Source organism: Homo sapiens, chromosome 1 (genome assembly GCF_000001405.40).
Source record: "Homo sapiens chromosome 1, GRCh38.p14 Primary Assembly".
Classification (NCBI taxonomy): domain Eukaryota; kingdom Metazoa; phylum Chordata; class Mammalia; order Primates; family Hominidae; genus Homo; species Homo sapiens.
In genome coordinates, this window is record NC_000001.11 from 59,788,860 (window position 1) to 59,803,098 (window position 14,239).

Below are 14,239 nucleotides of genomic sequence, written 5' to 3' on the forward strand. Positions count from 1 at the left end.
GTTATAATTTTTTGGCATGATCAGGTTATCTTTGGTGTACACTTCAGGGTTTTGTATTTCAAACACAACTCTTCTTAAAACTTTTCATGTGTCCCAGATGTGACCTAGTTTCCTTCTGGGAAATGAATGCTGAGTGTTGTACAGACAAGTCAAACAGACATAGCTATTTTAGGAGTCATTAATGTAGTGCTTATAGAAACCAAATATGTAAACCCACCTGGCCAGGAAAACCTTTATTGAGTATATACTTTGTGCTGAGTGATATTCCAGGCTCCAGAAATGAAAATACAAAGGGCAAGGCCCAATCTTGAAGAGCTCATGAACTAGTAAAAGAGAACAACAAACATGTTACAAGGCAAAAACAAATTACAAATGTAAATAATAAAGCCAAAGCATAATATGTACAATAATGGAAGCCTGAAAAAGGTAAAGAAGTATTACATAAAATGGAGCCATTTGTTCTGTCTTAGGAGAGCTCAAAAAAGCCTTCACAGAAAAGGTAGAATCCAAGCAAATTCAAAAGTTTAAAGTCCAGTTTGGAAATTTTCTTTCAATTAAGTCATGACGTGTTTATGGACAAATATCCACTTGAATCAATAAGAAAAGGAAAATGACTAGCATAATGCTGCACATAAAATAAGAATTAAAATGTTTCTGCTCTCTTCGTGTATTTTTAAAATTAAGGTAAAATTCAGATAACATAAAATCCACCCTTTTAGTCATTTTAAAGTGTACAATTTTTTAGTACATTTTAAAGTGTACAATTCAGTGGTGTTTAGTACACTCACAATGTTTTGCAACCATTACCACTACCTAATTCTAGAATATCTTTATCATCCAAAAAGAAACCCTGTGCCCATTGAGTAGTCACTGGCCTTTCCATTTACCCCAACTCCTCCAGCACGCGACAACCACTAATTTGCTTTCTGTCTCTATGCCTCTTCTGGACACTTTATATAAATACAACCATACAATATGTAGGCATTTGTGTCTGGCTTCTTTCAGTTAGCATAATATTTTTGAGGTTCTTCCTTGTTATAGCATGAATCAGTACTTTATTCCTTTTCATAGATGAATAACATCCCATTGTATGTATATGCCACATCTTGTTAATCTGTTTATCAATTGGAGGACAGTGGGTTGTTTCTACATTTTAGCTATTGAGAATAGGGCTGCCTCCATATTTGTGTACAAGATTTGTCTGAACTCTTCTTTTCAATTATCTTAACTATATACCTAATGATATGGTTTGCCTGTGTCCCCACCCAAACCTCATCTTGAATTGTAGCTCCTATAATCCCCATGTGTTGTGGGAGGGACCTGGTGGCAGGTAATTGAATCCCGGTGTCTGGTTTTTCCTGTTCTGTTCTTGTGACAGTGAATAAGTCTCATGAGGTCTGATGGTTTTATAATGGGCAGTTCTGCAAATGCTGTCTTTCCTGCCACCATGTAAGACGTGCCTTTGCTCCTCCTTCACCTTCCGCCATGATTGTGAGGTCTTCCCAGCCATGGGAACTGTGAGTCCATTAAACCTCTTTTTATTTATAAATTACCCAGTCTTGGGTATTTCTTCATAGCAGCATGAGAACAAATGAATACACCTAGGAGTAGCATTGTTGGGTCTTATGATAACACTAGGTTTAACTTTTCGAGGAACCACCAAACTATTTTTTTTCACGTTGGCTGCACCATTTTACATTCCCACCAGCCATATATGAACGTTCCAATTTCTCCACACCTCACCAATATTCATCACATTCTGTTTTGTTTTGTTTTGTATTGTTTTGTTTTGTTTACTTTTTCCCATCCTAGCGAGTGTGAAGTATCTCATTGTGGTTTTCCTTTGTATTTCCCTAATGACTGATGATGCTGACTATCTTTTTATGTGCTTACTGGCCATCTGTATATTTTCCTTAGAGAAATGACTATTCAGATCCCTTGCCCATTTTTGAATTAGGTTGTCTTTTGTTATCGAATTGTAAGAGTTCTGTATAAATTCTGGATATAAGTCTCATCAGATCTATAATAGGCAAATATTTTCTCCCATTCTGTAAGTTGTCTATTTTTTTGATAAATCACCCACTCCAGTGACATAGCCACCATGTGCTCACACACGCCTCATCAGGGGCCCAAGCACCAGCCCATTCCAGGGTCCACTGCCAGTGACCCTGTTCATTCCAGCAGCTGAGTCACTACACACCTCACCCAGAGGCCAGAGGACTGGCCCACCCAAGGCCTGCCACTGGTGGCAACCTCACCCACTCCAGTGGCCAAGCCACTGAACATCTGTGCAACACCCAAGACCTAAGGACTGGCCGACTCAGAGTCTGACACCTCTGGAAACCTCACCCACTCAGAAACAGAGCTACCAAAGGCCTATAGCCCTCTCAGGGGCCACAGATCTGGCCCACTGGGGGCCCACTACACTTTGCAAAGCTGCACCATAGCCTCCACAAACTCTTGCAGCCTAGGCCGCTGAGGCACTTGCAGACACTGCTAACATTGAATACACCAAACAGAATCACACAGAGACTACACTATTGCACCCACCTGGACCCAAAGCCAAAACACTACCCAACCAACACTAAAGGACAAATCTACAGGAAAAATTATTTCTTTATGAAAGTTGCTCAATAAAATGAGACAAGACAACTGCTACACCAGATGTGCAGATATCAACATAAGGACACAAGATGTATGCAAAAGCAAGGAAACCTGACACCTCCAAAGGAACATAATAATTTTCCAGTAGCAGACTCCAAAAAAGAAAATCTATGAAATGCCTAAAAATGAACTCAAAATAATTATCTTAAAAAAACTCAGTGAGATATAAGAGAATACAAATAGACCATTCAATGAATTCGGGAAAACAATTATCATCAGAATAAGAAATTCAACAGAGATAGGTACTATAAAATGGAACCAAACAGAAATACTGGAACCGAAGATTTCAATGAATAAAATAAAGATTACAAGCAACAGCTTCAACTACTGACTGGATCAAGAAGAAAGAATTTCTGAACTTGAAGACAGGTCTTTTGAATAACCCAGTAAGACAACAAAAGAAAAAAAGAATTAAAGAGAATGAAGAGGCATACAAGACTTCTGAGACATTAAATGAACAAATATTCAGATTATGTAAGTTCTAGAAGGTGAATAAATAGGAGAAGACATTGAAAATATATTTAAATAAATAACAGCTGAAAACTTCTCATATCTTGAGAGAGATAGGGACAATATGACCCAGGAAGCTCAGAGATTCCCAAATAGATCCAACACAAAAGGCCCCTCTTCAAGGTAAATTGTAGTCAAACTGTCAAAAATCAAAACAAAGAGAATTCTAAAAAGAGCAAGAGAAAAGTGTCAACTCACATATAAGGAAAGCCTTGTCAGACCAACAGAAAAATTTTCAGCAGAAACCTTATAGGCCAGGGAGAATGGGATGATATATTCAAAGTACCGAAAAAAAAAATTTCCAGCCAATAATACTACACCCAGCAATTATACCCTTCAGACATGAAAGAGAAATAAAGTTTTTCACAGATAAGCAAAAAAAGAGGAAATTTATCACCACTAGACAGGCCATACAAAAAATGCTTGAGGGAGTCCTAAATCTGGAAGTGAAAAGACGATACCAACCAACATGAAAACTCATGAAAGTATAAAGCTCACTAGTAGAGCAGACACACAAAGAAGAAAGAGAAAGGAATCAAACATTATTACAAAACAACCAAACCATGAGAAACAATAAGAGAGAAAGACAGGGACAAAAAAATGTAAAAAACAACCAGTAATTAATTAAGAAAATGACAGAAGTAAATCCATACCTATCAATAAAAACTGTGAATGTAATTATTTTGGATTCTCCAATTAAAAGACATGGATTAGCTGAAAGGATAAAAACAAAACAAGATCAAACTATATTTTGTCTACAAGAAGCTCACTTCACCTGTAAAGATACACATAGACTGAAGTAAAAGAATGGGAAAAGATTCCACATAAACAAAAAACAAAACTGAGCAGAAGTAGCTATAATTACTTATATCAAACAAAATAGATTAAATTTAAGTCTAAATACATAAAAAAGAGACAAAGAGGGTCATTACATAAGGATAAAGGGATTAATTCCATAAGAGGATATAAATTCTAAATATATATGCATCCAACACAACAGCACTCAGATATATAAAGTAAATATTATAGTTAAAGGGTGAGATACACTGCAATATATCAATAGGTGGAGACTTCAACACTCCACTCCTAGCATTGGACAGATAATCTATACTGAAAATCAACAAAAAACATAGGACTTAAACTGCATTATAGACCAAATAGACCCAACAGACATCTGCCAAACGTTTTAACCAACAGCTGCAGAATACACATTCTTCTCATCAGTATATGCAACACTCTCCAGGATAGACCACAAAACAAGCCTCAATAAACTTAGTCCACAAAACAAGCCTCAATAAACTTAAGAAAATTGAGATCATATTAAGATTTTCTTTAGATCACAATCGAATAAAGCTAGAAGTCAATAACAAGATGAACTTTTGAAACTGTGTAAGTACCTAGAAGTTAAATAACATGCTTCTGAATGATCAATGGTGCAATGAAGAAATTAGGAAGAGAATTTAAAAAACCTTTTGAAACAAATGAAAATAGAAACACAATATACCAAAACCTATGGGAGATAGCAAAACAGTTCTACCAGGGAAGTTCAAAGCAATAAATGACTACATCAAAAAAGCAGGAAGTTTAAAAAAAAAAAAAAAACTTCACTAACGTAGCACCTCAAAAAATTAGATAAACAAGAACAAACCAAGCCTCATATTAACAGAAGAAAACAAATAATAAAGATTAAAGCAGACTTAATGAAATAGAGACAAAAATACAAAAGATTGACAAACAAAACAAACAGTTGATTTTTTGAAAAGAGACTAAGAGAAAAAGAAGATCCAAATAAATAAAATCAGAAATTAAAACGGAGACCTTAAAACAAATGCCATGGAAATACAAATAATCATTCCAATTTGCCAACAAACAGGAAAACCTAGAGGAAGTGTGTAAATTCTAGTACACATAAAATCTACCGAGACTGAACCAAGAAGAAGCAGAAAATCGAACAGACAAATGGCAAGTAATAAGCATCTCCCAACAAAGAAAAGCTCAGGACCAGACGACTTCACTGCTCAATTATATCAATATTTTAAAAGAGAACTAGCAACAATTCTTCTCAAACTATTTCAAAAAAGTTAAAGAGGAGGGAACTCTTCCAAATTTATTATATAATGCCAGTCTTATGCTGATACACAAACCAGAAAAGAACAAAACAAAAATGAAGACTACAGGCCAATGTCTGTAATGAACATAGATGCAAAAATCCTCAATAAAATACTAGCAAACTAAATCTAACAGCACAGCAAAATGATTATACACTATGATCAAGGGGGATTTATTTCAGGGATGCAAGGATGGTCCAACATATGCAAAGCAATAAATGCGATATATCACATCAACAGAATGAAAGACATAAAACGTCTAAATAGACACAGAATCATCTCAATAGACACAGAAAAAGTATTTGACAAAATTCAGTATGCCTTCATGATAAAAACTCTAAACAAATTAGCTATACAAGGAACATACCTCAACACAATAAAGCCTATGTGACAAACTCACAGCTAATATCATACTAAATGGGAAAAAATGAAAAACTTTTCCTCAAAGAAATCAAACAAGACAAGGATCCCCATTTTCAACACTCTTGTTCAACTAGCATGGGAAGTCTTAGCCTGAGCAATAAGGCAAGAGAAAGAAAGAAAATGCATCCAAATTGGAAAAGAGAATGTCAAAATGTCCTTGTTTGCAGATGACATGATCTCATATAGAGAAAAAACTGAAAACTCCACCAAAAAGTCTTAGAACTATTTTAAAAACTCTTAACATTGCACGATTAAAAAAATCACCATAGGAAAATCAGTAATGTTTCCACACACCAATAACAAACTAGCTGAAGAGGAAATCAAGAAAACAATCCTATTTACAATAGTTACAAAAAAGACACCTAGGAATAAATTTAGCCAAAGAGGTTAAAAATTTTTACAATGAAAACCACAAAACACTGATGAAAATAATTGAAGAGAAAAAAAACAAATGAAAAAAAATTCCATGTTTATGGATTGGAATAATTAATATTGTCAAAATGCCCACATAACCCAAAGCAATGTACAGATTCAATTTAATCCATATCAAAATGCCAATGGCATTCTTCATAGAAATGAAAAAAAAAACCCTAAAATTTGTATGAAATCACAAAAGACCCCAAATAGCCAAACTAATTCTGAATAAAAGGAACAAAGCTGAAGCCATTATAGTTCCTGCTTTCAAATTATAATACAAAGCTATACTAACCAAAATAGCATGGTACTAGCATAAAAACAGACAGATAGACCATGGCAAAGAACAGAAAACAGAAAAATGAATTAATGTACTTATGGCCCACTGATTGACAAAGGTGACAAGAATATCCACTGGGGAAAAGATAGACTCTTCAAAAAATGGTGCTGGTAAAACTGGATATCTATATATATCCAGAAGAATAAAATTAGACCCTCTACTTCTCACCATATACAAAAATCAACTTGAAATGGATTAAAGACTTAAATGTAAGACACAAAACTATAAAACCACCAGAAAAAAACATAGGAGAAACACTTCTGAGCAAAGATTTAATGATGAGACTTCAAGAGCACAGGCAACAAAAGCAAAAATGACAAATGGGATTATATCAAACTCAAAAGCTTCACTGTAACAAAGGAAACAATCAAGAGAATAAAGAGGCAAGGGATTAATAACCAGAATACAGAAGGAACTCAAACAATTCAACAGCAAAAAAAAAAAAATCTGATTTAAAAATGGGCAAATGATCAAAATAGACATTTATTTTTTAAAAAGACATACAAATGGCAATGTATATGCAAAAGTGCTCAACATCACAAACCATTAAGAAAATTTAAATCAAAACCACAATGAGATATCATCTCATCTAGTTAGACTAGCTCTTATTAAAAGCACACACAAAAAAATGCCGGCAAAGATGCAGAGAAAAGGGAACTCTTATATTCTGTTAGTGGGAATGTAAATTAGTATAGCCATTATGTAAAACAGTATGGAATTTCTTCAAAAAAAATGAAAATAGAACTACCATATGATCTAGCAATTCCACTATTGGTTATGTATCCAAAGGAAAGGAAAACCATATGCTGAATTGTGATCTGCATCCCTGTGTTTATTGTGGCACTATTCACAATAGGCAAGATATTGAATCAACCTACATGCCCATCAGTAGATGAATGGATAAAAAAAATGTCATATATATATATGTGATATATATATATATCACAATGAAATATTATTCAACCATAAAAAAGAATAAAATTCTGTCATTTGCAGCAACATGGATCATCCTAGGAGATATTATGTTAAGTGAAATAAGTCAGACACAGAATGATAAATACCACATGTTCTCACTCATAATGCGGAAACTAGAAATGCTGAGCTCATAGAAGCAGAGAGTAGAATTGTGGTTACCAGAAAAGGGTAGGTAAAGGAGGGAGTTAGAGAAGTTAGTTAAAGGATACAAACTTACAGCTAGATAGGAGGAATAAGTTCTAGTGTTTTATACACCTGTGGGATGACTACAGTCAACAGTAATATATTATAACATTTCAGATAGCTAAAAGGAGGATGCTGAATGTTCCCAACACAAAGAAATGATGGATGTTTGAGATGATGGATATGCTAATTACCCTGATTGATCAATACACATTGTATGCATGTATTGAAATGTCACTCTGTACCCACTAAGTATGTATAATTATGACGATTTCAATTAATTTTTTTGTTTTTAATTTTAATGAAGTTTATGTTATCTATTTTTTCTTTTGTTGCTTGTGCTCTTGATACCTTAGCTAAGAAACTATTGCTTAATCTAAGGTCAAGAAGAGTTACACCTATGTTTCCTTTCAAGAGTTGTATAGTTTTAGCTTTTACATTTGAATTTTTAAATCTGTTTTGAATTAATTTATGTATGTGTTATGAGGTAAAGATCCAAATCCATTCTTTGCCGTGTAGACATTCGTTTGTCCAAGCATCATTTTTTGAAAAGACAATTCTTTCCCCCATTGAATGGTCTTGACATCTTTATTAGAAATAAATTATCCATAGATATATTGATTTCTTTCTGGACTCTCAATTATACTCCAGTGACCTATATATCTACCTTTATTCCAATAGTACACTGTTTTGATTTTTGTAACTTTGTAGTAAGTTTTGAAGTATGGGTTTAAGTTCTTTTTGCTTTCTTTTTCAGGATTTTGGATGTCCTGCATCTCTTGCAATTCCATATGAATTTTAGAATCAGCTTCTCTATTTGTTCAAAAAAGAAGTTGAAATTTTGATAGAGCTTGCACTGAATCTGTAGATCAATTTGGGGAGTATTGTCATCTTAATATTATATCTTCCAATCCATGAACATGAAATCTCTTTCTACTTATTAAGGTTCTCCTTAATCTCTTTCAGCAAAATTTTATAGTGTTCAGTGCACAAGTGTTACAATTCCCTGGTTAAATATATTCTTAAATATTTTACCGTTTTGATGTTACTTTATTTTTATTTTTCTGTTTGTTTTTGTTTCATTTGTTTGTTTTTGAGACAGAGTCTCACTCTGTCACCCAGGCTGGAGTGCAGTGGCATGATCACAGCTCACTGCAACCTCTGCCTCCCAGGTTCAAGTGATTCTCCTGCCTCGGCCTCCTGAGTAGCTGGGACTACAGGCATGCACCATCACACTCAGCCAATTTTGTATTTTTAGTAGAGACAGGGTTTTGCCATGTTGACCAGGCTGGTTTTGAACTCCTGACCTCAAGTGACCCGCCTGCCTCAGCCTCCCAAAGTGCTGAGATTACAGGTGTGAGCCACCACACTGGGCCTGATGTTATTTTAAATGAAATTGTTTTATGGTTTCTTTTTCAGATTGTTCATTACTCGTATATATAAATACAATGGGGTTTTATATACAATACAGATATCCATTGTAGAAATACATGGAGTTTTGATATTATATTCTGCAACTTGGCTAAATTCCTCTATTAGCTTGCTATAGTCTGGATGTGTGGCCCCTCCAAATCTCATGTTGAAGTATGAACTCTATTGTTGAAGGTTGGCCTAGAGAGAGGTGTTTGGGTCATGGGAACAGATCCCTCAAGAATGGCTTGGTGCTCTCCTCACAGTAATGAGTTCTCACTCTGTTAGTTCATATAAAAGCTGGTTGTTTAGAAGAGCCTGGGGCCTCTTGGTGGCTTCTCTCTTGTTCCCTCTCTCACAGTGTCACATGCCTGCTCCCCCTTCCTTCTGCCGTGAGTATAAGCTTCCTGAGGCTTCACCAGAAGCCAAGCAGATCCTGGTGTCATGATTGTACAATCTGCAGAACTGCGAGCCAAAGAAAACTCTTTATAAATTACCCAGTCTCAGGAATTCCTTTATAGCAATGCAAAACAGAGTAATGCATAGCTTTAGTAGTTTTTTGTTTGATATAAAATCATGTCATCTGTGACTAGAAATAGTTTTACCTCTGCCTTTCTAATATAGATGCCTTTTATTTCTTTTTCTTACCTTGTTGACCTGGCTAGAACGTTCAGTATAATGTTGAATGGAAGTGGCAAGAATGAAAATTCTTGTCTTGTGCCTGATATTACAGGGAAAGCTTTTGGTCTTTTACATAGAGTTTGATGTTAGCTATGGAATTTTCCAGATGGCCTTTATCATGTTGAGAATGCTGCCTTCTATTTCTACTTTACTGAGTGTTCCCATCATGAAAGACTGTTGAATTTTGTCAAATGCTTTTTGTCATCAGTTAAGATGAATGTGTGGGGTTTTACTCTTTCTTTCATAAATGTTGTAATATGTTGATTTGACTTCTTTTCATATGTTGAACCACCCTTGCATCCCTGGAAAAAATTAGTCATAAGGTATAATCCTTTTAATCTAGTGTTGAATTTTGTTTGCTAGTATTGTGTTGAAAATTTTTGCATCTATATTCATAAGGGATATTGGCATGCAGTTTTCTCTCCTTGTCATATCTTTGTCTGGCTTTGGTATCAGGGTAATGCTGGCCTCATAGAATGAGTTGGGAAGTATTTCCTCCCCTTCTACTTTTTGGAAGTTTGAAAAGAATTACTCTGCTTCATAAAATATTTGGTAGACTTTGCCAGTGAAGCCACCCAGTCATGAGCTTTTTTCTGTTAGAATTTTTGATTACTGATTCAATATCCTTACTTGTTTTAAGTCTATTCAGATTTCATCTTGAGTCAATTTTGATAGTTTGTGTGTGTAGTTTGTGTGTTTCTAGGAAGTTGTTCATTTTGTTTAGGTTATATGATTTTTTTTCACATAGAAATGTTTATAGCACTCTATATAATTCTTTTTATTGTCATAAGGCTAATAGTAATATTACCACTTTCATTTTTTATTTGAATCTTCTTTTTGTCTTCATCAGTTGAGGTAAAAGTTTGGCAATTTTGTTGATCTTTTCAAAGAACAAAGTTTAGTTTCATTAATTCTCTTTATTGTTTTTCTATGTTTTGTTTCATTTACCTCTGCTCAAATCTTTATTATTTCAGCCCTTCTGTTTGCTGTGGGCTTAGTCTGCCTTTTTTTTTTTTTTTTTTTTTTTTTGCTAGTCACTTAGGAAGGTTAGGTTATTTATATAAGATTTTTTTTTAACGTAGGCATTTAAAAGTATAAATTTCCCTCTGAGCACTGCTTTCATTGTATCTCATAGATTTTGGTATGTTGTGTTTTCATGTTCATACATCTCTATTTTCTAAATCCCCTTGTGATTTCTTCTTTGGCCCATTGGTTATTTAAGAGTATGTTGTTTAATTTCCGCATATTTGTGAATTTTCCAGTTTCCCTTCTGTTATAGATTTCTAATTTCATTCCAAAGACACTTGTTATGATTTCAATATTTTAAAATTTATTGAGATTTGTTTAGAAGTTTAACATATGGTTCATCTTGGAGAATTATCCGTATGCGCTTGAGAAGAATGTGTATTCTGCAGTTGTTGAATGGAGTGTCCTGTACATGTCTCTTAGGTATAGTTGGCTTGTAGTGTTATTCAAGTCCTCTATGTCCTTGTTGATGATCTGCCTAGTTGACTTATTCATTATTGAAAGTGGAATATGCAACTGTCCTACTCTTATTGTTGAACTGCCTACTTCTGTCTTTAATTGCCCATCTTTGCTTCATATATTTGGGGCTCTGTTTATAGGTTTATAATTGATATATGTTCTTGATGGATTGACCCTTTATTATTATGTAATATCCTGATTTGTCTATTGTAACAATTTTTTCTTTTTTCTTTTTTGAGATAGGGTCTTGTTCTATTGCTCAGGTTGGAGTAGTACAGTGGTACAATCACATCTTACTATAGTCTCAACCTCCTGGGCCCAAGCCCGCCTGCCACCTCAGTCTCTCAAATAGCTGGGACCACAGGTAAATACAACTAAGCCCAGCTAATGTCTTTATTTTCTTTCTTTCTTTCTTTCTTTCTTTCTTTCTTTCTTTCTTTCTTTCTTTCTTTCTTTCTCTCTCTTTCCTTCTTTCTTTCTCTCTCTCTCTCTCCCTCTCTCTCTCTCCCTCTCTCTCTGTCTCTCTCTCTCTCTCCCTCTCTCTCTGTCTCTCTCTCTCTCTCTCTCTCTCTTTTGAGATGGGGGTTCCCTATGTTGCCCAGGCTGGTCTTGAACTCCTAGGCTCAAGTGATTTTCCCTCCTTGGCTTACCAAAGTGTTGGGATTACAGGCATGAGCTACTGCACCAGGCATAATTTCTTTCTTAAACTCTATTTTGTCTGATAGTCATATATTTACTCCAGCTGTCTTTTAGTTAGTGTTTGCATGAAGGAGCTTCTTCCATTTCTTAGCTTTCAACTTATTTTGACTTTGAATCTAAAGCAAGTCTCTTATAGACAGCATACAATTAGATCATGTTTTTCAATCTTTACTGCCAACATTTGCCTTTTCATTAGAGCTTTCATCCATTTATTTTTAATGTAATTACTGATAAGGTAGGATTTTTGCCATTTTGCTATTTGCTTTCTATATGTTTTTTTTTTGCTCTTTAATTCCTTTGTTACTGCCTTCTTTTGTATTAAATACGTATTTTCTAGTATACCTTTTTGATTACTTTCTCTTTTCTTTTTCTACACATTTTAAAGTTGTATTCTTAGTGGTTGCCCTGAGGATTACAATTAACGTTTTCATTTATAGCAATCTAGTTTCAATTCAAGTTAGTTTCAATTGTATACAAAATGTTTGCATTTACACAGCTCCATCCCTCTCTTTATGTTGTTATTGTCACAAATGATATCTTTATATGCTTTGTATTTATAAACATAGATTTATAATTTTTGTATTATGCAATTGGATTTAAATCACATAAGAAAAAGTGAGGTTTATAAACTGAAAAGACATTAATACTGACTTTTATATTTATCTTCATATCTACTTTTACTGCTTTTTTTGTATTTTTTCCTTTTCTTTTTCATTTTTCATTTGTTTTGTTGTACCTTTATTCTTTCCTTCCTTATTCCTTATTTTCTTGTTTAAAACATAGGTAGGAGAAAAGAGAAAAGTGATTTTTGCTTAGGACTGACTTGGCTATTTGGGCCCTTTTTTTTTGTTCTATATGAATTTTAAGATAGTTTTTTCTAATTCTGTAAAGAAGGTCAATGGTAATTTAATGAGAATCATGCTACCTGACTTCAAACTGTACTACAAGGCTACAGTAACCAAAACAGCATGGTACTAGTACAAGAACAGACACATAGACTAATGAATCAGAATAGAGAAATCAGAAATGAGACCACACACCTGCAACCATCTGATCTTTGACAAATCTAACAAAAACAAACAATGGGGAAAGGATCCCCTATTTAATAAATGGTGCTAGGAGAAGTGGCTAGCAGTATGCAGAAAATTGAAACTGGACCCCCTCCTTACACCATATACAAAAATTAACTCAAAATGGATTAAAGACTTAAATGTAAAACCCAAAACTATAAAAATCCTAGACGACACTCTAGACAATACCATTCAGGACGCAAGCAAAAATTTCACAACAAAAATATCAAAAGCAATTCAATAAAAGCAAAAATTGACAAATGGGATCTAATTAAACTAAAGAGCTTCTGCACAACAAAAGAAACTATTATCAGAGTGAACAGACAGCCTACAGAATGGGAGAAAAATTTTGCTATCTATCTATCTATCTATCTATCTATCTACCTAACAAAGATCTAATATCCAGAATCCACAAGTAACTTAAACAAATTTACAAGAAAAAAATAAACAACCCCATTAAAAAGCGGACATTAAAAAGTGAACATGAACAGATCCTTCTCAAAGGAAGACATACATACGGCCAACAAACATATGAAAAAAAGCTCAACATCACTGATCATTAGAGAAATGCAAATCAAAACCACAATGAGATACCATCTCACACCAGTTAGAATGGCTACTATTAAAAAGTCAAAAAACAACAGATGCTGCAGTGGTTATGAAGAAAAAGGAATGTTTTTACACTGTTGGTAGGAGTGTAAATTAGTTCAATCACTGTGGAAGACAGTGTGGCGATTATTCAAAAACCTAAATGCAGAAATACCATTTGACCCAGCAATCCCATTACTGGGTATGTACCCAAAGGCATATAAATCATTCAGTTATAAAGATACATGCATGCATATGTTCATTGCAGCACTATTTGCAGTAGCAAAGTCATGGAATCAACCTAAATGTCCATCAATGATAGATTGCATAAAGAAAATGTGATACATATATGCCATGGAATACTATGCAGCCATAAAAAGGAATGGGATCATGTCCTTTGCAGGGACATGGATGGAGTTAGAAGCCATTATCCTCAGCAAAGTAACACAGGAACAGAAAACCAAACACTGCATGTTCTCACTTATATGTGGGAGCTGAATGATGAGAACTCATAGACATATGGAGGGGAACAACACACACTGGGCACCTGTGGGGTGGGAAGAGCATCAGGAAAAATAGCTAATGGATTCTGGGTTTAATACTTGCGTGATGGGATGATCTGTGCAGTAAACCACCATGGTACCCGTTTACCTATGTAAAAAACCTGCATATCCTGCACATCTATTCCT

General features: G+C 34.5%; 1 long non-coding RNA gene across 1 annotated transcript in view; it reads right to left on the reverse strand.

Moving 5' to 3' along the window:
* Nucleotides 1–14,239, reverse strand: part of LOC105378758 (uncharacterized) — a 44,047-nt gene that overhangs the window by 18,040 nt on the left and 11,768 nt on the right. The window contains exon 4 of the long non-coding RNA XR_947426.3: nt 218–323. This is a non-coding gene — a long non-coding RNA (uncharacterized LOC105378758). The remainder of the gene's footprint in view (nt 1–217; nt 324–14,239) is intronic.